The 26,832-nt window shown below is 45.7% G+C and overlaps 1 long non-coding RNA gene across 1 annotated transcript in view; it reads left to right on the top strand.

Annotated features, from left to right (window-relative positions):
• LINC00927 (long intergenic non-protein coding RNA 927) overlaps positions 1-25,887 on the top strand; it is a 78,738-nt gene extending 52,851 nt beyond the window's left edge. The window contains exons 2-3 of the long non-coding RNA NR_033833.1: positions 1,102-1,140; positions 23,262-25,887. This is a non-coding gene — a long non-coding RNA (long intergenic non-protein coding RNA 927). The remainder of the gene's footprint in view (positions 1-1,101; positions 1,141-23,261) is intronic.
• The last annotated feature ends 945 nt before the right edge of the window (positions 25,888-26,832 follow it).

The raw sequence follows: 26,832 nt of genomic DNA, 5'->3' as shown, positions 1-26,832 counted from the left end.
TAGAAATAGGTTGACCTTCAGACTTATTTTCTCAATGGGTAGTTAGTGCTGGGTTCTCGATCTCTCTGGTTTAGTCTGCAAGTATTTTAGTGGCAAGTCATCAAGGCAAGTCGGAATCTGCTCACTAGACACCTGTTCGCATCACACATCCAGAGACTCATTCCTAGTCCTCAAATGCATGTTTGCTGAAAGATGTACTGGGGACTTTGTGTGAGGATGGCTGCTTCATACCTGCAGCTGACTCAGGGTCATGGTAAACTATCAGCTTGAAGTGTGTGACTTCTCATAGGCACTATCTACCCCAGGCAGCTATTCAGTGCAGAAGAGCTCATGAAATGTTATGGCTGAGAGTGTTAATTGTCCCCCACTATTTGTTCTCCCTTTAACAACTGTCTATTGCTGTGTGACAGCCCACTCTAAAACTTAGTGGCTTAAAACAAGAATTTAGAATTTCTCACGGTTCAGTGGGCTGGCTGGGCTCAGCTAGGCTGTTCTGCAGAATGTGGTATGGACAGCAGACACTCATGCAGTTACACTTAGCTAGTAGCTAAATCTGGTGCCTTAGCTGCAGTGGCTAGAATAGGTCGGAGCTCTCTGGCCCTCCTCTTTCTCTCTCTCTCTCTCTCTCTGTCTCTCTCTCTCTCTCTCGGCAGTCTCTCATCATTCAATCATCTTGTCTGAGCTTATTTATATGGAGCTGGATCCCAGAATAGTGACAGAGAAAGCTGCCAGGCCTCTTAAGGGCTAGGTCTAGAAACGTCACCTGATTTTACTGGTTAAAGAGAGTCCCAGGACAGCATCAACAGAATGTGTTGACAAGAGACTTGTTAGCATAATGGCCTTGTGACCAGAGCCACCATAATGGCCTAGACTTTTTGGAGAGCAAAATAAGTCTCTGTCATTCTGCATCTTTGTTTTACATCTCTGTTGTTTGGGGTGTCTGTTATATGCAGTTGAGCTTATTTTCCAAGTAATACACATGTGTTCTAATAGAAAATCCCTCTATAGAAAAATCCTTCTATTTGAATTTCCATTTTTCCTTAGCTCTGTTTTATTTTGTATTTACACAAATTTATTTATTATACATTTTATATTTTATAGGTATATTTGTAAGCCGAGTTGAATGCTTTGTGGAGAGAGGTAAGTACATTTTACAATTAGATCTTAGAAGTAAAATCATTTGTAAACATTACAGCACCATGCTACTCTAAGAAGTTGCCATTACTCCAATAATGATAGTTTCTCACATCCTTAGACAAACTTAAGACCCAGCATAATTCCCCAAGTTCCTTCTAGATCTCAAATATTTACTCCTTGGTCATATGCCATGCCCCACTCTCTAAATCAGCCTACTTGATTGTTTTATCTTCTATTTAAAAAAAGGTAACATAAAATTTGCCACCCTAACCAGTTTAAGTATACCATTCAGTAGTGTTAAGTAGATTTCCACTGTCACACAGCCAATCTCCAGAACTTTTTCTCTTGTAAAACTGAAACTCAGTACCTGTTAAACAACAGCTCCTCATTCCCTCTTTCCCCATGCCCTCGCAACCACCATTCTGTGAATTTAACTACTCTAGGTACCTCATGTGATGTAATCATGTAGTATTTGCCCTTTTGTGATTCATGTATGTCACTTAACATAATGTCTTCAAGGTTCTTCCACATTGTAGCTTATGTCATAATGTCATTTTTAAGGCTGAATGGTATTCTATTGTATCTATTAATATCTACCACATTTTGTCCATCTATTCATCCCTAGGACATATGGGTGCTCCCACCTCTTGGCTTCTATGCAGCCTGCCTTCTCTTTTCCCTGACTTCACCTTTTCACACACACCTGTGCACCAGCACCTTAAGCCCAAACTTTCATTCCTGAACTCATAACCAGGTCAATTAACTAGCTCTGACCATTTGCATGTCCCACACTGGGTGATGACCCTCTGTTTGGTCCTCCACAGGGAGATGGGCGATTGTCCCCACACACAAGCAACAATGAATTGCATTTAAAATGAAGGGCAACATCATACTCTAATATTCTTCTCCTTTTCTGATTTTGCTTGGGCTCCATAAATGGACAGGTGACAGTGTCCTCAGAGATCGTGAGGGTGAGGGTTAAATGCAGACATGAGGGCTGCGGAAAAGCAGTGCATCTGATGCCCTTCACGAGAATTGTAAATGAGTCCCCCTTCTCCCAAACTCTCTGTGGGGAATGGCTTCTGGTGATTGGGCATCCCTGTGGTCTCAGGTCATTATCCAACGTCTATGGGAGGGGTGCTCCGTTAGATCCAGAGAGAGAATAGTGGGGGAACTAACCAGGGAGAGTGGCCCAGTGGCCAGGACCCAGTGTCAGAGGGAGTAGATCATCTCATCCCTACTTCCAGGAATAGTGAAAGCCAGATGGTGCAACCAAGACAGCATGGCTCACACTGGAGACTCTAGGGGCCAATAAAGTATTCAGAAAACATCCACTAGGTATTAAGTCCTATGCCAGGTACTAAGAGCCCAAAAGTAAAAAGGGCATAGTTCCTGCTACCGAAGAACTAACAGTCCATGGAGGGAACAGGCTTGTAACTAAACAACTGCAAGACACTAAGTGTCACTCAGGAAGGAGCTGTTGCAGGATGGGAAGACCCGGGCTAGACTACTTCCCTGGCCTGGGGCCTTGGCAGGGTAGGAGTTTGGCAGGCCTGAGAGGATGGCTGGAAGGATTTCCGACAGAGGGGAGAGCATATGAGAAGTCAAAAATGCACAAAGAGGCACAGCGATGACGCCATGTGCCTGGAGAGAAGGGGCCAAGACAGAAATGGCAAGATGGGAGCTGCAGCAGATCAGAGCGCAGTGTGGGTGTCCTTGAGGGGTGTTGGGTTGCCACGTGGTAGATGCTGCTAAAGAAGGGGCCCAATGTCAGACTTGACGGAGAAGTTCCTTCCAACTGTAGGAGGACAGACAGAGGGGTCAGGGAGACTGGAACCAGGAGGACCAGTTAGGAGACTATGACAGACTCCATTTCAACCTAGTCATTGAATCCAGAGAGTAAACTCTGCTTCCTCCCAAATTCTTGTTGAATTTTAAGATATATTTTTTAAAGTTCTTAAAAGAAAAAAACAAACTCTGCATATATGCCAGATAAAAATGAAAAGGTGTCATCAATAAGCCAGAAAGAAAGGAAACTTCTTCAGGTGTTGCTAGAGACTAATAATGTGTCCACCTGTCCAGGATTCTTTACCCACGGCTTCCTTCTCCCAAGGAGGCACGGTGGAGGCTGGAGTGAGGGTGGCATGGAGCAGATCGAAGTCTTCAGAACAGCCCAGGGCCTGCTCTCATGGTGAAGGCCACGAGGCTCCCTGGAGCCTGCCCCTTGTGCAGGCATGAGCTGGGTAACGCGGGGGCCCTGCTGAGGCAGGATGTCCCATTCGCCTCACCATGAGCCACCACAGCTATCAGAAAAGCAACTGCCCATCCTGCTGAGGACACTTCTCTGCCACAAGGCTCTGCGTTCCTACTCCTGCTCTTGGCCCACCAGACCTCCAAGAAGCAACCTAAAAACACACACACACACAAAACATGAGCTTCCCTTCCCGTTTTATGCCAGAGAGATCCCATATGAACCCTCAGTACTGGACAAAATGAAGATGAGCAAAGAGAAAAATGGACAGATGCCACCATTTCATGTATCAAATACTGACGTGGTGATGCAAGAGTCAGGATTGTTTTAAAGTCTACATGAATATTAAACTCATCTATTTACAATGACAGCCCTGTGAGGCAGGTGCTATGGTGGTCCCCATTTTACAGATGTGGTAGCTGAGACTCAGAGCAGTTAAGTCACTTGCCCAAGGCCACACAGCTCCACATGGTGGGATTGGTCTTGAGACCAGGGAGTTAGTCTGGCCACAGAGCCTGTGCCGTTCACCCTCATACATGCTGCTTCCCTAAGCAGGAACCAATCTGATAGATAAAAGCACAATCCCCCCCTCCCCCCAATAAAACAGATTTATTTTTTTTAAAATAGGAAAATATCTTCCCTAAATCTCCAATTTCTCTTTTTGATGATAATACATAATAGAAAAATATATATGTAAATATGCAGAGAAAAGAATCTGACAACAAGAAAGATTTAGATGCAAAATACATGGTCGAATTTTAAAATGCAGAGATGAGCAAAGTTAGGGAAAACAGGCCGGGCGAGGTGGCTCACACCTGCTATCCCAACACTTTAGGAGGCTGAGGCGGGTGGATCACCTGAGGTCAGGGGTTTGAGATCAGCCTGGCCAATATGGTGAAACCCCATCTCTACTAAAAATACAAAAATTAGTTGGATGTGGTGGCACGCCCCTGTAATCCCAGCTACTCAGGAGGCTGAGGCAGAAGAATTGCTTGAACCCAGGAGGCAGAGGTTGCAGTGAGCCAAGATCACACCACTGCACTCCAGTATGGGAGACAGAAGAAGACCAAAAAAAAAAAAAAGAAGAAGAAAAGTTAGGGAAAACATTCAGTGGGGAGAGAGAACAGATTGGGTTCTGCAGAAACAGCATCGCAGAATAATAAGATGAACACAGTCACATTTCCCACAATGTAAGAGAAAAGAACCGATGCAAGATGTAAAGATAAAGGTATAAGACTGGGTATTTATAGCTCCAGCAAATAGACGAAAGTAATCCCAGAAATAGAGAACAGAAGGGATGGGGAAGGAACAATCGTAAAAGAAAAAACAAAACACACACACACACCAAAAAAAAAAAAAAAATTGCTGCCCTGGAAAAAAAAAAAAGGCAAGATTAAAAAAACAAAGACAATGAAAATAGACTAATACCCAGACATATCCAAAATAAAAAAATAAATGTACAAGCACTCAGTTTGGAAGGGAGGGAAGCTGGGATAAAATTAACTGTCAAGGGTGAAAGGTGAAATCAGGGTATTGCTCCACAGTGCTAAATGCTGCAAGACGAGAGCGTGAGATTTTTCTAATGTGAAAGAGCACCAAAAATATGACATTTATTTATCCTTCCTAGAAAAAGGTGACTTAGGAATTCCTCTGTATTGTTAACCTATTAGTTCTTAACAAACTACCCCCAACCACAGTGCCATTAGAGTTCTCCAGAGAAAGAGAACCAATAGGGGATATAGATATAGAAATAGACAGATAGATACAGGCAGACATGAAATGAGGTTTATGGTTCATTGGGTAACACAATTATGGAGGCTGAGAAGTCCCATGATCTGCTATCTGCAAGCTGGAGACCCAGGAAAGCTAGTGCTGTAATTCAGTCCAAGTCCAAAGGCCTGAGAACCAAGGATGCCAATGGTGTAAATCCCAGCCTGAAGGCAGGAAAAGATAAATGAGAAGTCCCAGCTCGGGCAATGAGGCAAAAAGAAGGGGCAAATTTCGTTTCTCCTTCCTCCGTCTTTTGTTCTATTCAGGCCCTCAATGGATTGATGATACCCATCCACACTGGGGAGGACCGTCTACTTTACTGGATCCACCAATGAGAATGCAAATAGACACAGAAACTGTGTTTAATCTGGGCACCCGTGGTGCACTCAGGTTGACAATGTAAAACTGACCATCACACACAGTCACTTGTTAGCACTCATGCATTTGTAGGTGCTGGGCCTGGCAGATCTAGGAGGGATGGGGCAGGACAGCATGGTTTCTCTCTGTGGTCTGTAGGTGGGCTGGGAGGTCTGTTCCATGTGTCTCATCTCCCACCTGGGACCAGCAGGTGAGCAAGGGCTTCTCTCCTGCTGATAGTGGGGGCAGATGGGAGAAGTGGGCAAGTAGAAACAGCTAAGGGCTTTTGTAGTTCAAACTCAGCATTTCTGCCAATGTACCACCAGCCAACACAAGTCCCATAGCCAAGGCCAAGGCCAAGGTCAAGGGAAGGGGAAATGCACTCTGCTCCCAATGAAGCTGTGGCAGAGGTGTGGATGGGGCCGGGGAGAACTGAGGCCAAGCTGCAATGCACATCACACTCCATGCAACCCCCAAAAATGATCAAATTAAAGACTGCAAGAATGGCAGAGACAAATTATAAAAGTTAAACCTGTAAAATGAATAGTTAGTGTTGAAATAATGTTCATTAACATGAATGTTAACTTAATGTAGACAACTATAGCCTCCAAAAATGTCATAGAACAAAAAGCCTGCTAATAATAGTCTGGATCTAAAAGCCTTGATTTCTCAGCAAAATACAGTGTTAAATGGAGGGGAGAATGAATGTTAAATGGAATATTTAAAAGCATATTAAATTTCTTATTTTCTTACAGAGAGGTATTTATTTATTTTACAGATGAGGTCTCACTTTGTTGCCTAGGCTAGAGTGCAGTGGCACACTCATAGTCCACTGCCACCTCCAACTCCAAGGTCAAGCGATCCTCCTGCCTCAGCCTCCCAAGTAGCTGGGACCACAGGCATGCTCTACCATGCCCAGCTAATTTTTTTTAAAGAGACAAAGTCTCTCTACATTGCCCAGGCTGGTCTTGAACTCCTGCCCTCAAGCGATCCTACCACCTCAGCCTCCTGAGTAGGTAGGACTATAGGCATGAGCCATTTCATCTGATGTATTTTTTTTCTTTTTTCTTTTCTTGTTTTGTTTTGTTTTGAGACTCTGTTGCCCAGGTTGAAGTACCAGTGGTGCCACCATGGCTTACTGTAGCCTCGATCTCCCAGGCTCAGCCTCCAGTGTAGCTGGGACTACAGGTGCGTGCTACCACACCTGGGTAGTTTTTGTATTTTTTGTAGAAACAGGGTTTCACCATGTTGCGCATGCTGGTCTGGAACTCGTGGGCTCAAGTGATCTGCTGGCGTCAACCTCCTAAAGTGCTGGGATTACAGGCATGAGCCACCGTGCCCAGCCCCCAAGCTCTTAAAATCCACTATTCCAATTGTTGACTTGCTGGTCATCACATTAATTTACCCTTTATTACCTTAGCTTATCAATGATCACATTAAGTCTGAATTGCTTCTCCTCTCCTATTTTTTTTTTTTTTTTTTTTTTTGAGACGGTCTCTCGCTCTGTTGCCCAGGCTGGAGTGCAGTGGCGCCATCTTGGCTCACTGCAAGCTCCGCCTCCCGGGTTTACGCCATTCTCCTGCCTCAGCCTCCCGAGTAGCTGGGACTACAGGCGCCTGCTACCACGCCCGGCTAATTTTTTGTGTTTTTAGTAGAGATGGGGTTCCACCGTGTTAGCCAGGATGGTCTTGATCTCCTGATCTTGTGATCTGCCTGCCTCAGCCTCCCAAAGTGCTAGGATTACAGGCATGAGCCACTGCGCCCAGCTCTCGTCTCCTAGTAAAAGACATTCTAAGCAAGCTATGCACAACAACAAACAAACAGCGACAAATCCAATGCTCATGTTAACAATGGACACACCTAGAAGCAAAATGCCCTGGTGATTCCACATAGAGGAAGGGCCAAAATATATATATCCGGAAAATGTATACAGAGAAGAGGGGTTCTGAAAAAAATGAGGGTTTGAACTCAGACAATGATAGAAGGTGTTGACTAAAGGCAAAAAAGCCAAGCTTTTAAAGAATTCAAGTTGGTTTCCTTCAGAAGCCTGTAGGACTGTAGACAGAGGCCGGTAGCCCAAGAGCCGCCCTTCGGTGGGGGTCCTGTCAGTTCTCGGTACAGTGTTTTAGCCACAGCTTAAATGCAGGTGGCGGGGTCAGGTACCTGCAAAATCGCATCTGTCTTGCTGAGAAGTGACATTGAAGCAGAATCACATCAAGGTTTGGGCCTGAGAGTGCATCTGGTTAGAGATTACAGAGGCATCCTCACTAACCCCAGCAGATGTCACCTTATGTGTAGGGAAAGGCAAGGATAAGGGTCATTTATCTTGTAGGGAGAATAGAGACTCAGGCAAGAGACCTGGGGGGCTATGTGCTCTGGCCTGCTTTGTCTTCAAAGCATCTTTCCGGAGCGCCGCACATTGTCACAGAGTCGGGGCCTTTGTGGAGTTATGCGGGCAAGCAGAAATGAGCAGGCGTGGCTTCTTTTGTTTGCTACTTTGTCTCACAAAGGGAGGAAGGGGAAGTAGGACCAGTAATGTGTTGTGAGGCCAAGGCTGAGAAAAAGAAAGACTTCAGAGTGATCCCCAGGTAAGTAGCATCGTGTACCAAGTTAACAAACCCAACCAGAAGAGCAGGTCTGGGGAAGAGATGCCACCGCCACCCATCCATTCATTCACTGAACCACCACTGACACCGTTTCTAGGCAGTAGAGACGCTTAGTGAGTGAACTCAGCTCACCTGCCTTGCAAACAAAAAACCACTTAACTAATGTAAAACTGAAAGTTTATACATTTTAAGAAGAGAGGAAACTGGGTGCTACGAGAGCTTACAATGGGGGCAGCAGGGTGGTGACGGGGTCAAGGAAGTCAACAAATCTTTCTGGGAGAGGTGATATCGGAGCCGAGATCTAATGATGATGCGGCATCTGGGGAAGAGTCCCTGACACTGACCTTCCCTGATGAGTCCATATAAACAGCAACCCCACTCTCGCCCCTTTGTTCCATCATTCTCCATCCCCCTTGTCCTGTTTATTCTCAAATCACTTCTCACTTCCTGAAAATTCTTTAATTATTGATTTGCCCCTAGCTGGCCCTCTATCCCCTGATAAACTCTAAGTTCCAAGACAGTAGGACACTGATTGCTTTTGTCCACTGCTGTATCCCCAGCCCCTAAAATGGAGCCTGGCAGATAACAAGCACGAGATAAACACCAGCTGACTCCACGGATGGAGGGCACGTGGACGGACTGGGTATGCAGAAGAGACTCTCTGACTGCAGACTCGGCTGCCACACATAGAAATGTCTGCTCCCTGGACCCTCAGACTGCCTCGGTCCCTCCCCCGTGAAACCCACTCCACCATTTCCACGCACACTCCCATGCTGTCACCCTCAGGAAGCATCATGACAGCTTGATGCTGGCAGCAACTGTCCATGAAGAGGGGAAGAGTGACAATGCAGGAAAGAGAAGAAGACTCAAGACACAAAGTCCTCAGGGGGCGAGGGTCACCTCCTTCTACCAGGCCAGAGAGCAGAACGTGTGGGAACAAGGGCAGGCAAGCTCGTGGAGGTGGTGGTTGAAAGGTGAGAATTGGAATATAATTTCCATCCAGGGAAGGAAGTGTCCCCTTTAGAGTAACAACACCTTGGGCACACCATTAACAAATGACAGACTTGGGCTCTGCTGCTCAGAGAACTGAAGTCAGAGGATAGCACATGCATTCTTAGCTGAGAAGTTCATAAGAGCTATAAGAACCTGTGTGATGTTTCCTGGAAAGTACTCGGGAACAGGAATCAGGAAACCTGAGTTTGAGTCCCTTTCTTGCCACCAAATCCATCATCAGATGACACTTGAACATGCCTCTCAAAGGATGAGATTAGGCAAGATCATCTCTCTACCAAACCCTCTTCTCTCACTTCCCAAGAAGAGAGATTGCCTGGCCCTGCTTGAATGTCATGAACAGGTGTGCTGGGGGGTCTAGTCTGGACCAGGTAGCTCCCACCAGGACAGAGCTGCCAACTGCACATGGAGACCCTGAAGCTTTTTTGGCCTTTAACCAGCTCCTGAGCTGCTGCAACTCACAGAGAAAGGAAATAGCATAATGGGCCAATGACAAGTTATATAATTTGGTTGAAACTTCAAACAACAGGACCCATATGGATAGGAAATTATTTTAAATGGACTCAAATGTCTAATTTACATAATCTATGTTTCTTGTTCATATTTGCACCCAGTGGGTGGTTATATGAATATTTGAATACTTGATGACTGATTAATAGAATATAATTTGCCAGGACCCTTCACTGTTGAGAAGGGTTTGAACGAACTGCCTTTTTTTTTCTTACCCCATATATGGAAGAAAGTAAAAAAGTTTCAGAATGAGTTTAGGATAATTATACTACATCTTAAATGTTTACATTTACCAAAACGACACACAAACGCAACACATCTTATGTATAAGCCTCATTTGGAGTCCGTGTCCAAGGTCCTCTGTGAGGTCCTTGGTGACCCTGGTCCTGACATTCATCCTCCCCTACATGTCAGGGTCTGTTATTTACATCTTACAGTTTGGCTACAAATCCTCCAGCTAAAACTCTTACCAGATCGGCCATCAGAAGACCAAGCATGACTCCCCACCCTCAACTTTGTTCCTCCCTCAACGCGTCACTTTGGGCAGCGTATTCCCTGGGCCTGGAAAAGGAAAGGATTGCCTTTCGATGAACCCCAGCAACGTAACTAAGTTCACTTTTGACTCCTGATAGGCTTTTTCATCAAGAATTTTAATTTGGCTTCTTCGTCAAGAATTTTAATTCCACACACACCACAGAGCTGGTTTTATAGAGGTCAATCTAAGCCTTCGGTCAAATTTTCTCCCCCTCATCCCCATGAACAGCCTTGCTTTGCCTCTTTCTCTCACCACATCTATAGCAAGTCCACTGTGGGTCACGGCAGCTCCCTGCAGATATTGGATTTGTGGTGCAGAGGGGGACGCCCTTTCTGAGAGTGAGACAGAAGGGACAGGGTGGGCCAGCCTCCTGCAAAGACTCCATCAGACAGGTGCAAATGCATGCCCAAGAAGGATGGCAGGGAGGCCACATGCAGCACCATCACGCTTTATCATGATGGGTCCATGGCCCTTCCTCCCAGGGGACCTAGCCTTGGGAGATTTGCGAAAAAAGAAAGTCACAAATATGCAAAGTTTCACCGTGAAATGGGCATTGGGCTTGCCAGGGCTGGCCTTGGTAGCATCCTTCCATGTCCCCTTCCCCTGGGTTGCAAGAACCACGTGCTTGCCCAAGTCTTTATATCACTGGGGAATAACTTGACTCCTTCTTCTCTTTCAATCTCTCTCAATCTCTCTCTCTCTATCTCTGAAAGCAAGTAATGGCAATGAGTCAACAGAAATACTGTAGGTGACCTGTCTGAGAGGCCCCAGGCCTCTAGTGTGGGCAAGGGACATGAAGCCTGAAGTTTTTATCTATTTGCACGTTCCCTAGAGAAACAGGAGGAAAATTATGCCAGAGATGTCTCACAGCACATATGTACTTTACAGTAGATAAAATTGTTTAAAATCTCATGAAAAATGGCTCAAAATATAAGTTTACATGGTTGAATATCTGTTGGGGTCTCTCAGATGTGCAAAGAACATCTGTCTCTTCACACTGTATGATTTAATCTTCCTTATGAGCCTCCCATGGCAGGGTGATGTCAGTGACATTGATGTCCCTTTAAGCAATCCCCATTCATCTCTTATAACAGAGCCTAGTAGGTGAATCTCAGCCTTGCAGATCTCACTCCTGTGCCCTCCTTCTGCTGGACACTGGCAGTCAGAGGTCTTGGCAGCCTGAACAGAGGGAATGCTGTGCTGGGTTAGAAGAACAAGAGTGGTAATATTGTCCCCCTTCTCCATCCATGTCAGCCCCAGTAATAGCTGATGTCTGTGTGTGGCAGACATTCTGTGCCCAGGCATCTGTGCATCCACACCACATGCCTACACTCTGATGCCGCCAGTGAGTTCTCCAGAAGCAGATGCTGAAATGGAGCTGGGCTCACACGATGCTGATAAGGGGTCACATCTGAGAAAGGAAGGTGCCACAGGCACAGACCGAGGGAAGTCATCCTGTGCTGGGGGCCCAGCGCAGCCCCTGCCAACCGAGCTGGTCACTACAGAGTGAGAAGTATCATCAGAGTTGTACAGCATCAGGCTGACATGGCTGGGTCTTTGTACCTTTGGTGAGGTGGGTCTCTGAGGCTGAGGCTGTCCCCGAGGGGCCAACAGCAGTGGCCACATTGCAGAGGTGGGCAGCAGACCCTCCCCAAAGGTATCCCAGCATCCGTGTCTGCATCTGGCACACTGGCCTATGAAATTCCTGCTATGCTGGTGCTGGGGCAAACTTCCCTCACGATGGAGAGCCTGGGATGTCGGCATGGGAGATGTTTGGGCACAGTCTCCTGTCAGACCCTCAGACAGGAAGAGAAGCAGGAACCCCTTAGATTTCAGGACCTCCTCCCTCCCCCAGATCCAGGATTTGAGCCTGGAGAAAGGAAATGATGACCAACAAGTCAGCCACATGTCCCCTTTGTCCCTTCCACGATGCCCCGACCAGAAGGGACAGCTACCCCCAAATCCCCCCTTCCTGAGGTGGTGTCACACTGACCCTTATCCCTCCTGGTGACCAATGCAGAGATAGAAAGCACCTTAGAGAGAAACAGAACTCGAGGGATCTTCCAAAAACATACTGTTTGTCACCTGTATCTTCACTGAGGGCAGAGGTGACTCCTTGGTAGCCCTAGTCCCTGAGATTGGGCTTCCTTGGTGACTGAGCTTGTCCCTCTGTCCACACAGGGCTCCAACAGTGGCTCCTGTTGGAAGCCTCAGAAACCTCTCTAGCCCATGCAGCCAAAGTGGAGGAATTGAAGGCAGCTCATGACATCCAAGGGAGAGCTGAATATCCAGCTTCAGGAAGAGGGGAGCCCGGGTGGTGTCAGAGGCCTGGGGGCTGCAGCCTGGGACTCCTTTCGATGCCACTGCCACAGACAGACCAGACCTGTGACTCTCTCTGTGCCTCAGAATCCCAAGACACAGAATCAGGTGCCCCAGCTGGGGTCAGCGGTGACCAATCAGCCTGTGGCCAGGGGCCAGGTCCCATGGGATCGACACCCTGCCAGGGTCCTTCTCAAGGGAAAATGGCTGTAAGCCAGGCCACTCCCAGATGGTGCTGATGAGAAATGAGCTAAGAAATAATAGAACTTCTCTAGGATCGTGAGGACTGGGGAGGGGTGAGTCATCTTTCAGTGCCTGGGAGGCCTTTTTAGTCTGGCACATGGCAGATGGTGCTAAGGCCAAACCAGGAAGTTATTCAGTTCCATAAACACAGATGCCACTCAAACTCCAGCCCAGCTGATTACAAATAGATATCCTTAGTCACTAAAAGATGGTCCTCATTTCCTCCCATTCCAAACCCTCCCTATGCATCCTGATCAAGTGTGTCAAGTGTGTCTTGCCAGGCCACACTCAACTGTTATCACTGTCATAATAAGATGCTTCAAGGGACTTCACAGACCCCAACACTCTATGAGTTGGTTCCAAGCTCATCCCATACCATAACAGCCACACTGTCCTAATCACTGTTTCTTTTTGTGTGTAACAGCTTTGTTGAGATATAATTCACACACCATGAAATTTGCCCTTTTAAAGTATACAGGTAAGTGGTTTTTAGTCTATTCGTAGAGTTGTTCAGCCATCACTGTTACAGGACTGTGAAGTTCATCTTTCCACTGCATCCCGTTTGCATCCAGTGGGTGGTCTGAATATCCATTGTGCAGCAACAGACCAATACACCGAGACAACAGGGCTTGCAGCAAAGAGTTGAATAATCTCCAGGCCGCTGAGTGAGGAGATGGGAGGAATCCTCAAGCCTCAAATCCATCTCTCCAGGGAGTTCTGGGCAAAGGTTTATAAGGAGATCATGGAAGGAAAGGGGCTGGAAAGTTGGGGTTATTGATTGGTTGGGGTAAGGGGGATAAAATTATTAGAATGTGGAAACTGCATTTTCCCATAAGTCAGCTCCTTACTGGGTCCTTCAGCCCTGTTGGCACTGGTAGTTTTATCAGTGTACAGAACCCAAATGAGAAACTCAAACAGAAAGCTTATTATTTTATAATGTCTTAGACTTTACAGAACAGAAAAGGAGCAAAGAGCCTTGTGACAGGGCTATGTTATCCTGGGATAGTAAGAAGCAGCTAGCTACAAGGAAGCAGGCCAAAGGGTAAGGTGGATTGCTGATAACTGCTGATTGTGCTGCAAGCCTAGTAGGATTTTTTTTCCTTAGTTGATTTTATAAAATTTTATTAGGGACAGTTTCATTGCCACTATTTAATTTCGGTTTATTTTCATTACCACAAAAGGTAACCCCATACCCACTGGCAGTCACTCCCCACTTCCCCAGCTCCTGGAAACCACTGATCTACTTTCTATCTCTACAGATTTTCCTATTCTGGACAATTCATATAAATTGAGTCACACAATATGTGGCCTTCTGTGACTGGCTTATTTAACAGAGAATGTTTTCAACATTCATCCATGTTGTAGTATGTATTGGTAATTCATACATTTTTTGTGGCCAAACATTCCATTGTATGGATACACTACATTCGTTTTTCCATTCATCAGCTGATGGACTTTGGGTTGTTTCCACTGTGTGGACTAGTGTTAATAATTGTCTTAGTCCATTTTGTGTTGCTATAAGGGAATACCTGAGGCTGGGTAACTTACAAATAAAAGAAGTTTAATTGGCTCACAGTTATGCGGGCTGTACAGGAAGCATGGTGCTGGCATCACTTCTAGTGAGGCCTCAGGAAGCTTTTAATTATGGCAGAAGGCGAAGGGGGAACAGATATGTCACATGACAAGAGAGGGAGCAGAGGTTCCAGGCTCTTTTAAACAACCAGATCTTGTGTGAATGAATAGAGAATTCACTCATTACCAGAAGGGAGGCACCAAGCCATTCATAAGGGATCTGGCCCCATGACCCAGCACCTCCCAACAGGCCCCACTTCCAACATTGGAGATCATCTTTCAATATGAGATTTAGAAGGGACACACATCCAAACCATATCAGTAATGCTACTATGAACAACCTTGTACAAGTTTTTTTGTGTGGAGGTATGTTTTCAGTTTTCTCAGGTATATTCCTAAGCATGGAATTTCTTGTCAGATGTTGACTCTTATGTTCAACATTTTGGGAAACTGCAAAATTGTTTATCAAAGTGAATGCACCATTGTACGTTCCCACCAATAGTTCATGAGGGTTTCAATTTCTTCACATCCTTGCCAAAACTTACTGTCTGTCTTTTCTTATTTTGGCATCTCACTGATGCCAAAATAACTGGCATCTTATTGTGATTTTGATTTGGATTTCCCTAATACCTAATGATGAAAGCATCTTTTCGTGTGCTTCTTGTTCATCTTGTCTAGCTTGTGTGAATGTACACATACATATATCTTTGGAGAAGTGTTTATTCAAACCCTTTGTCCATTTTTAAATTGGGCTGTCTGTCCTTTTATTGTAGAGTTGTGAGTTCTTTGTGTATTTTGGTTACAAGTTCCTTATCTGAAGTATAATTTGCAAACATTTTCTCCCATTCTGCAAGCATCTTTTCACTTTCTCTTTGTGTGAATTCTGCTTACCCTTTAAGACTCAGCTGAATTTCAGCTTCTCCAAGATGTCTTTTTTGACCAGGGTAACCACAAATCCTTTCCTACACTCTGGCATACCCACAATAATTTATTCAATTATTTATTTATTCATTTGCTTGTGTATTTATTATGTTTATTCAAAAACTATGCATTGAGCACCTTCTATGTTCTAATTGCTGTGTTTCATGAAGGACGTAGCCTTGAAAAAGAGAAACATGCACTTTGCCCTCTGGGAGCTTCCCATCTAGCAAAATTGAGACACATAATTAAAGTGAGTGGCTCAAGTGCTACGATGGTGATTATAACATGGTGAGTGCTTACCCTATGCCAGGTCCGACTGGGAGGGCTTGACTCTTGGGCATTCTCTCTTTCTCCATGGGAGCAGGGCTCAGATATGTCTCCTTGAAGAAGAGGCACTTCAGCTGACACCTAAGGGATGAGCGGAGTTGGTGAGCACATGCAGGGGGATCTAGAGGGCAGAAAGCACGGCTTCTCTCATGGGAATTGAAAGAAGGCCCACATGGCTGTGGCAAGAGCAGAGAGTGGAAGTGAAAAAGAGGCAGCAGATGGGGTCAGAGAGGTGGCAGCAGCCAGATTGTGGAAAAGCCTGAAGCTCCTCCAGGGGCACCAGCAATCAGCTTCCCATGGGCCTGTGTCCCCCAGCACTCACCATGCTGTTAATAATGTTTTCTCTCTCCTGTGAAAAGACATTATTGATTTGTGTCATTGAACTTAAGGCATGGTGTATTCATTTGTTCTCATGTGCTAATAAAGACATACCCGAGGCTGGGTAATTTATAAATAAAAGAGGTTTAATTGACTCACAGTTCTGCAGGGCTAGGGAGGCCTCAGGAAACTTACTATCATGGCAGAAGGGGAAGCAAACATGTCCTTCTTCACTTGGAGAAGTATGAGCAAAAAGGGGGCAAAAAGTATGAGCAAAAAGGGGGAAAGCCCCTTATAAAACCATCAGATCTCATGAGAACCCACTCACTATCACTGTGAGTGATAACTGCCCCCATGATTCAATTACCTCCCACCAGGTCCCTCCCACGACATGTGGATATTATGAGAACTACAATTCAAGATGGGATTTGGGAGGGAACACAGCCAAACCATATCACATGACAAAATATGTGTATACCTTTTTAGGAAAGATATATTTTACATATTGCAGCAAATATAGCATGCAATGTTTACAAAATACCAGGAGGAAACCTTTTTGTGTAGAAATTATGTTAGCTTTCTGTTTATTATAAACCCTGGAATAGACCCTTCCCACCGAACCCACCTCCTATGAAGTAATGAAGGTATCATTAAATGTCATCACGGATAATCAACCATTTTTGCCAGGAAGGTAATGAAGGAGTTAAAATACCTTCTATTTTTGAGGCAGTTGTCCAGTTGCAGGCAAAACCTTCTGGGTGGGCAACTATCCCCTCCAGAAACAAAAGATATGTATCCAGAATTGCTCAGACTTAAAAAAAATTATTTCAGAACAACTGAATCAAATTAGCACAGCTGACCAAAGCCAGGGTGGGCAATATCTGAATGTCATTTGAAGCTGTTTAGGGCAGAAGGTAAAGAGGATGGTAGAAAACTCCTTGGATTCATCTCTGTATCTCCATGTCTTGAAATTTTCTCCTTATGACTTTATCATAAAAGAATCAAAATTAGGCATGAAAAAAAGGACTTGACATTGATTTCAGTAAGATCCTAAAATGCTTCTATATTAATTGATTTTACTTTACCGCAATGGAGAATGGAGCCATTTAAAGACCTTAAGCAGGGGAATAATATTATCTAATTTCCATTCTTAAAAATTGCTTCAACTTCCCAGTGAAGAAAGGAATGGAGAGGGGCCAGTCTGCAAATAAGAAAACAGCTGGGGTCAATGAGGCAGGTGAGGGACCTTGATGGTTCAGAGAGGAGTGGATAAATTGGAGGGCTTGGTTGTGGGTCCTGTGGAGTAAGTGCAAAATAGGTCTCATGAATGACTCCTACACTTCTGACTTGAGAAATTGTGTGGGGAGTGGTGCCACCCGCAAAGATAAGAAATACAGGAAGAGGAGCAGGTGTAGAGAAGATGATGAGTTGGGTCTGAAACAAGTGGAGGTAGAGCTGCCCCACATTCATCCAAGTGGTCATTGGGTATGTGGGCCTGCTGTTCACCAGATGGGAGTCTCAGGCTGGGGGTTGGGGAATTCTCAGCACAGAGATGGTCATTGGAGCCTTGAGAATGAATGAAGTGACCAAGCGATGGTGAGCTGGCAAGGCAGGAAGAGTGTGCAGCGAACAGAGCCCTGGGACCATCGAGCCCTACGGAAAAGGACACACCAACCAAGGAGGCTAAAAGAGAGATCAGAGAAGGAAGCAAGCAAGCCACAGGAGACAGACAGCACGAGATCAGTGGAAGAAAGAGGACAGGGAAACTGAGCTAAATATTGACAGGAGGTAAAGAAAGAACAGAAGGAAGGAAGGGAGAGAGGGAAATGCCCATAGGATTTAGAGACATTTAGAATCACTGATATCCTCTGTGGAATTAGCTTTTTGAAGTGGTATGAGTGGGAAGCAAGATTTTAGTAAAGTGAGTAGTGTGTGGAAGATGTAGACAACATTAGCAAGGGAAGGAACAGAGTTATGGGGCAGCTGGAGAGATGCAGCTAGGGGATTGGTAATATACAGGCTTGTGCTCTATTTTCTGCATTGTCCAGAATTTACTGCCTTGCTGCTAAATGTTGTTTGATTTTGTGTGTCTGCCTCTCCAGCTGGCCCCTGAACACCTCAAACCCAGGGCAAGTATTATTCATATTTATGGCCCTAGAAGCACCTAACATACAAGAGCTACTCAATAAAAGTTTGGGGATTTTAGTTTCTATTTTCTGAATGACAGGTAGTACCTGGGTTAGACCAACCTGTGCCTACCCACAGGGTGAAATATGTATTACATGACTTGCTTCTGTGGAATTTGGAAGGATGGAAGTTCCTCCACTTGAGCAAAAAGCATATTGTGCTGGCTCAGCCATGCTGGGAATTTGTTGTTCCTTCCACCATATGGTCTGGTGCTGACAACAACTGGGAGTAGAGGCTTCCAGCTCCCATGAGCCCCAGAATACGCAAGAAGAGGTGCAAACTGAGGGCTATAACACAGTGAGAGCTGGAAGGAGTTTTGCATCTTGCCTAGTTCAGATCCTAAATATCTAATCATCCTGCAATGGCAACAAAACCCATAGACCCTAGGGATGCTTCCATTGTCATATGGAAACATTGACCTCTGTGCTCACCAGGGTGGTGGGACCTGAGGCCCTGCTCCACTGGCCCAGAAGCTCTGTGGAAATAGCAGCCAGGTCCCTTTGCATACCTTACTCATAATTTTTGCAACCTTGAAGGCAGCTGAGACTGTGAGGGGTTGCCATGTCATTCTCCTGGGTGGTCTGGTAGAGACAGGAAAGAGCGTGGGTCTGGGAACCAAGCAGGCCCCAACTCTGAGTCTAAATTACACCCAAACTGAATTGTCAACAGAAGATTGGGTCTGTGGATTCTTTAACTGAGGCATATGGAAGGATGAAGAATCTGGGGATTTCTGGCGGCATGGTGTCTCACTGCCTCTTCCCCTTCCCCATTACAGAACAGCTGAACTATGCTCACAGCATCAGATGACACAATCGGGACATGACAAAGGGGCAAATTCTCATACTCTTTAAGTCTTGTACGATATGACTTTTACCTATTAAAAATATGAATCAGATGAAACACAAATGTTGTGAAGGCAAGGATGTCAGTGTACTTACTGCATTTTTTTTAAAGAAGTAAAAATTAAGAGAAATAAGACGAAATGTTAGTAGTCATTAAATAAGTGGCAGGTACATGGGTATCTGTTACAAAAAGCTCTGTACTTCCCTGTGATTTTTTTTTCAGCATCCTGACGTAGTGGAGAAGGAAGTGGGTGGATACAGCAGTGGTATGGGATACAGCAGAGGGAGAGCTGGGATGGTGGGTGGTGATATTCATGTCAACTGCCCTTGGGGTCTGATGGCAATCAGGATGTTAGGGAGGTGTGAATCTAGGCTCACTCTGCAGTGTATGCCTTAGAAACCTGGTTTGGGTTGTGGTGCCAAGGATAGAGATAAGAAACTGGGAAGGGTGGGTGAAAAGAGAAAGGGGTCTGTTTGGTTTGGGTATGCCTAGTGTATGGTGGCTGAGGGCCATTGATGGGGAATCTGTTCATTATCCCCAAACCTTGTTGCCAAAAACACTAACCTCTGACAAACACCTCTTGCTAATACATATTTGAAACCTTTGTCACCCTTTTGAATCTCTGACCTCTCCTCTGCCTCCCTCACTCTTAGAGGATAAACTTGCCTCATTCTTCACAGAGAAGATAGAAGCCACCAGACAGGACACCCCTTAGCATCCTGCTACATCATCCACAAACCTGCCTTTATCTGATTCCCTCCAATCACTCCATGGCAGGTACCTGTTCTTGTGAAGGTCATCCTTGACCTTAATGTTGCTAAATTCCGGGCTGCTTTCCGGTCCCCTTGATACTAGATTTGCTCAGGTTTCTATTGCATTCGCCACACCTTCCTTCTTGCAGGAGGCTCCGTTGTTCTGGGCAATGCTTTTCTCTCAAGGTTCCCCTGACTCCTCAATGCCACTCCCAGCCCATCTTCTTAGCCAGTTCTTCCCTGTCTACCCATTAGCCCTTCGGCCACCCCTCCTTGTAGGCTCTGCTCCCTTCCCTGCAATCCCAGCCTGGTGCATGACTTCAGCTACCCACAGCATCCTCTAGTTTTCTCTCTCTCCTGAGCTCTAGCTCTGTGCATCTAACCATATCCATAAAATCTCCACCTGAACATCTCACAGACATCTCAAGCTTGACATATTAAGTCTGAATTCATGGTGCAATGCCCCTCAAGCCTGCTCCTGAGTCAGCAAATGAGTCCCTCTTGTCCTTGCCTCACCCTTGCCCAATTGCTCAAGCTACAAACCTGAGCACTGTCCCTGAGAGGCCCCTGTCCTGAGACCCCTACAAGTAGTCATTGGTAAGTTGGCTTCACTCCCACACATCCCTCCGTCTGTGTCATCTGTCCCCATCACCATCCAAGTCCAGGCCCATCTTCTGCCTCTGCGTTGACCTCTGCATCCATCATGCTAACTAGTACATTCTCTCTATGCTAGTTTAAGATGTTGCTTCTTCCTTAGAAATGGTCTCGGGCCACCCATTATTCTTAGAATAGGGTCAAGGTCTCCATGGTGATTGGCATTTGACTCCTGCTCACCACTCTGACTTTGTTTCCTGCCACACCCACCCCAGCTTAGACCTCCTTCAGTTCTTCCTTTACCCCAAACTCGTCATTACTTCGGGGTCTTTGCACACACTCCTATGTGCATCTGCCCTTTGCACACAGTCCTTTGTGCATCTGCCCTTTCCCCATTGCTGTCCTGGCTCCTGCTCACGCTGCAAGTCTCAGTATGAATGTTGCTTCCTCCAGGAGACGTCCACGAATGCCCAGATTTGGTCGGATCTCCTAACATATCCTCCCCCAGCACCCCGTTCTTCTCCATCACCCACTTAATGCAATTGTAACCAGATAGTGTGTAAATGTTTCTTGAATATCACTCTAACCCAGTGGGTTGGAAGTTCCATGAGAGCAGAGACAGTGCCTTCTTTATTTGCCAAATGTGCAATGGGAACTCAGTAGATACTCATTGAATGGGGGCTGGGGAACAGATACATATGTGTGTGGCTAGGGAAGAAAAAGATAAAATGAGAGTGAGGAAAGTCTTTATCATCCCTTTGTAGGCTTGCGGGGAATAAAGCATTACTGGGCGTGGTGACAGGAAATAGCAGATACACACAAATAGGGTTCCTGCCCTCTTCCCTGGCTGGAGATGGCAGGGTGTTATCCTGCAGTCTGGAAAGCCCGGCTCCTGGGGCAGGTCATCCTGAGGACATCAGCAGTGGTTGTGGGACTCACAGTAAAGAACACCTATGACACTCACCCTCCCACTGCCTGGTTAACCCTTTTCAATGGCATTCATTAACCTTAGGGGAGAAGACAGGGATGGATCACAAACAGAGATTGAGTGGCTTGAGATTTCATTTCAGTTCCTCTCCCTTTCTGTCTCAGGTTCAAAGCTTTTTATAAATCTCATCTCCCAGTTTTTCCTCTCTTCTCTCTGGTCTTTCCTTCATGGGACACAGCTTGTTTGGATTAGAAGTGCGTCCCATCAGGTAGAAAAAGCTGAGGTCTAGAGCCTGGAGTTAGACGATCTGGGGAGATGCCAGCAGTGCCTGGAGCTGCAATGTGACAATCAGGAGGATGGATGAGGAGCAAATAGGAAAAGGGTCCTTCTCAGAGTGGGGTCTGTCAGGGCTTTTCAGTGTAGCACGGGGCTTCAGGCAGGCAGAGGCACCCGTCCTGACCCACACACAAGGAGGACAGTCAGGAACCACAGTCCCAGGGCTTGGACTACAAGGACTCCATGAGCTCTGGAAACCACCACTCCACTTGCCCCCTGCCATTTGTCACTGCCTTCTGCTTACCCAGAGGATCAAAGGAAGCTCCTTAAAGCAAACAGCCAGCATGTTTGTCTCTGGAGGTGATGCAGGAGGGAAGCCAAGGGATCTCCCACTCCAAGAGAAACCCCAAGAGACAGAGTTATGATGGGACTGAGGTCCCAGAGAAGTAGGAGCAACTGCAGACTCCAGCAGGAAGGAGAGTCCGCAGTAGACTAGGGCTCTGCAGCATCAGAGCTCCTGTGGTGTCAGCAACCCGCGTCATCTCTCCTGGGAGCAGGTGCATCTCAGCACCACCTCTCAACAGAATCCCCCCATGCCCTGCACGCACACACACACAAACATGCACACTAATGTGGTCACCTATTCTGGGCTGAAGTGGGAAATGAGATCCCAGTGATCTGAGCTTTCTCTGCCTCAAGTGGCACAGATCCCAAAGAGCACAGACTCCTCAGAGCCAAGCTTCTCAAACTTCATGGTGCATGCAAATCCTCTGAGGTTGTGTTAGAACAAAGATGGCCCAAGCCCAACCTTCCCAGAGATTCTGATTCAGCAGATCTGGGGTGCAGCTCATGAAATGGCATTGCAGACAAAATTGAAAATTCCCAGGTGATGTTGAAGCTGATGCTAAGGTCTCAGGACACACACTTTGAGTTCTCAGAGACTTTTATGGTCAGTCTATAGGAAGATCACTGTGGGAGTGGCCCTGGGAGAGCCTGGTACAGAAAGCAGTCATGGCAACTGACATCTGACATCTGGGAAGGGGCCTTAACAAAGATATTGAAGCAGGAATGAATGAGAGGGGTCGGATGGAGATTAAGTTCCTTTCACTGGAAGGCTCTAAATAGCCCCTGAGGCTCCACCAGCCAGAAGGGCCTTTATACTCCCTAAGAACCTGTTTCTGTTCCTCAAAAATTAAACATACAGTTACCATATGACTCAGAAACTCCACGCATAGGTATAGATTCAAGAGAATGGAGAAGAGGTGTCCACACAAAAACCAGTACACGAATGTTTACAGCAGCTTTGTTCATAATAGTCAAAAAGGGGAAACAACCCAAATGTCCACCAAGTGATGCATGGATAAACAAAATATGACATATCCATACAATAAAATATTATTCATCCATAAAAAGGAATGATACCTGCTATAATATGCATCAATCTTGAAAACGTTATACTAAGTGAAAGAAGCCAGGCACAAAAGGCCACATATTGTATGATTCTATTTATATGAAATGTCCAGAACAGGCAAATGCATAGAGGCAAAATGCAGAGTTGTGGTTTCCAGAGGCTAGGGCTTAGGGAGGAAGGAATAGGGTGTGATTGTTTAATGGTTATGGGGTTTTGTTGAGGGGTGATGAAAATATTCTGAATTAGATAATGGCAATAGTTGCACATCATTGCAAATTTACTAAAAGCCACTGGGATGTATACTTTAAAATACTTAAAATGGCGATTTTATGTTACGTATATTTTACCTCGATAAAAACATATTTTAAGTATCTGCTTACATCTTCTGTCTAGATCCCATTCAGGAGGGCTAAGCTTGAATCCAGGACTTACTGAGGAGCAATCACACAGAAAAGGACAGACACTTCGAGGGAAGTACCTCAGAATGAGAGCCTTGCATTCATTTACTTTGGCTCAGTAGCTCCTACTCCTATAGCATTTGGGAAGGAAGAATGATTGCCTCCATCCCATGTAACACAGCTCATATTATACAGAAGGAGAATGCAAACTTCCTTCTCTCAAGCCTCTAAAGGTGGAAGCAAACCTACCTTACAAACAGCAGGCTTGCTCCTAATCAGTGCCGTGAAGGGACCAATGCTGCCTGGTACATGGAGTCAGTAGGAGGATGGGCAGATGGCCACTAGCATCAGTGACAATGCAGCCTGGAGTGGATTCAACAGACAACACAGACTTCCCTTCACTCTCATCTCTGCCCCCACCAGAGGCACTGAGTCACTGGCTTAACTGAGTCACTGAACCTGGAAGGGACCACGTCCTCCTTCATTCACTCATTATCTCAGTCAGCATATACCTCTATGTGTCAGGCACTGTCATGGCCGCTGCTCCAGCAATAGATAGGACAGGGCCCCTGCCCTCAAGGAGCTTCCAGTCCAGTCAGGGCTACCCCTTCAATGCCACCCCCCTGCTGGAGAGCCTGGATCTTGGGTAAGGTTCCACATCTGTTACTGCTGTAACCTGGTGATGTCACTTACTCCTCTGTGTCTTGGTTTCTTTATCTGATATGAAAGTCTCATGACTTGCTGAATAAATGTCATAACATTTCATTTAACTCAGTTTATAATGTTGCACTAGTCATCAGATTCACTGAGTTCTTCAAAAATATAGCTCTTTGGCAAAATTCATTGTTAAAAAATAAATAAGCCATTGTAAGCAATTTTTATAAATTTAGTTTGTTTTTATTCATTCTAAACCATGGGATGCCCTTTGGACATAATACAATAATGATTCTAGGGTTCTTAGAAACATGCTATTTGTTTCCTTCCTTATCCCTCTGGATGTGAAGTAAAATAATAACTTAAATAACTTGAAGTAAATTATACTTTAAAAAGAATCTCAGCCAGGCACAGTGGCTCACAACTGTAATCCCAGCACTTTGGGAAATCAAGGTGGGCAGATTACCTGAGATTAGGAGTTTGAGACCAGCCTGGCCAACATGGTGAAACCCTGTCTCTACAAAAATACAAAAATTAGCCAGGCATGCTGGTGTGTGCATATAATCCCAGCTGCTCTGGAAACTGAGGCACAAGAATCACTTGAACCTGGGAGGTGGAGGTTGCAGTGAGCAGAGATTGAGCTACTTCACTCCACTCTAGACTAGTCAACAGAGTGAGACTCCATCTAAAAGAAGAAGAAGAAGAAGAATCTCAGATTTATAAGATGAGAGATTCAGAAATATTTGGTTTCCAAGATCTAGGCATATTTGGTTTCAGCACCCAAAACTTTGGACAGCAGCCTCCTCATTCTCTCCTGGTAGAACTGACTTGAGAGAAAGCCTGGTTAGGGCTAACTGATTCTTAACATCTCTCTTTAACCAAGGTCATCTCAATTCTAGGAAGGAGAGTGTGCCCCTGGCTCAGATAAACCAGTGAGAGTTGAAGGGTACCAAGGACAAGGTACTCAGATGACAAGGCTAAGGGGAAAGCTGCACTGTGGGCAGCAGGAAGTAACTGGACCCACATCAGAGCTAACAGCAAATATTCACACCATAACTCCGAATTCTCAGATCCCAGGTAGACTCTGACTTCCTCAGAATCCCACTGTGATGTCTGAGCCTCAGAGCAAGGCTTGGATGCCACAGTGGGCTCTCCTGCTTAGTTGTAGTTTGAGTCACTCCTTTGCTCTTTTGCACCATTTCAGCTAAATCCTGTGCATGGGGTGTGGGGGTTTCTTTAGACCTTGAGCCGAAGCTAGAAACCAGATTTCAAAAAATTCTGTGAGCAGCATTGAGAAGCTATACCAGGGAGAAGCAAGGACCAGGCTTTTCAGTCAAGCATAACTGAGCTATTAAGACACAAGAGACTCAGGCGTCTGCCTGTCCGCATCAATCTAAGGAAAACTCAGCACACATTGCTGCAGCAAGCAGAGGTTTGGACATGGGATGGGCTGTTATACTGTGCATAATTTAACCAACACATGTCGGTGGCTGAATGCTACAAAATCCACTTCTTGCTCAAGTCTTACATGACCAGTAGGGGGTCAGCAGGGGGCTCTTCTCCACATGTCTTTCAAGGACCCTGATGGAGGCTGATGGAGGTTCTACCACAGCATGGCTGCACCGTCTGGAATCCATGGCCTTCTGGGTCACCTGGCAGGGAAAGGAGGAGATGAGGAGCCTTTGGACTGGCAATTAAATGCTGCAGCCTAGAAGGGACACACTCATTTCCTTTCACAATCTATTAATCAGAAATAGTCAAAAGTGATGGTCCCCAAAAAAAAGGAAGAGCTGGCTGTGGCTGAGCACTAGAAGATTCTGCCACAGTCCCTGCTATGGATGAGTCCTCCTCCCCTTCTGAGACCACTCGTTTCTTCCTGCATATTTACTGTACAAAAATATTATAACAATACAAGGAATAAAAATGGAAAGGAAGCCCTCCGCAATTCCATCACTCTAACAAATCAACTGCTTTTGTTTTTCATTGTTTCTTTTCCATGCTCTATCCACCTGTGTAAATAATTTTACATGATTTAGTGCTTTTTTATGTGTTACCCAATATTATAAGCCAAACATTTTTCCACATTGCTCTATGATCTCCATTAGCATTCTCTAATGACAGTCAACTCTTTGCATTTGTGGGTCCACCTTCCATGATTTAATAGCTCCCTCACTGTTGGCACTGGGCTCTCACTGAACACCAGGCTCAGCACTGAAGCTTTTCATGTGTCACCTGGCTTAATCCTCACAGCATCCCTAAAATCAGACCCCATCATATCCCCATTTAAAAGCGAGGAATGCGGGACTCAGAGTTGGTGAATAAAGAGCCCAAACCTTCTTAAACAATAGGTAGGGGAGACAGAATTTGAACCCATGATGGTAGCCAGGTTTTCTCTATGGTGGGTCATCATTGCTTTCAGAAGCCCATCTAGGGCTTCATGCCTCCCAGACCCCTTGTCCTTCCTGGCACCTCCACGACCCCAACTCACTGGCACAGTAAGACCCTCCCCAGAACAGGCTCCCAAAGCACTCAAGGTAATGTGGCTCTTTACTGAAGGTTGTGAGGGTAGACAAGAGACGGTGACATTGTGTACCACTCAGCAGGACTTCCTAAAGTGTGTTTTAATTGTGTCTTTCTCTCTTGACAAAATTGTGTCTTTCTGTCTTACAAAATGTCACACACACACAGCTACTTAAAATTCCCTCTCTCCCACCTAGCTTCCTCCCTCTGCCCCTTTGCTCCCTCCCTGCCTCCCTCTCCCCCACTGCCTCCCTCCAAAGTCCCCCTTCTTGCCGTGCTCCAGCCTCAGCTCCCAAACCTCCCTCAGGGCCACCTGCCCTGGAACAGGCTTCTCCTCTGCTTCCCATTCCTCTTCCAGAGAGTTTCTGCTGACTGTCTCTTTCCTTAAACAG

Source organism: Homo sapiens, chromosome 15 (assembly GCF_000001405.40).
Source record: "Homo sapiens chromosome 15, GRCh38.p14 Primary Assembly".
Taxonomy (NCBI): Eukaryota; Metazoa; Chordata; class Mammalia; order Primates; family Hominidae; genus Homo; species Homo sapiens.
Note: the sequence above shows the minus strand (reverse complement) of the source record. Positions and strands in the feature narration are given on the sequence as shown.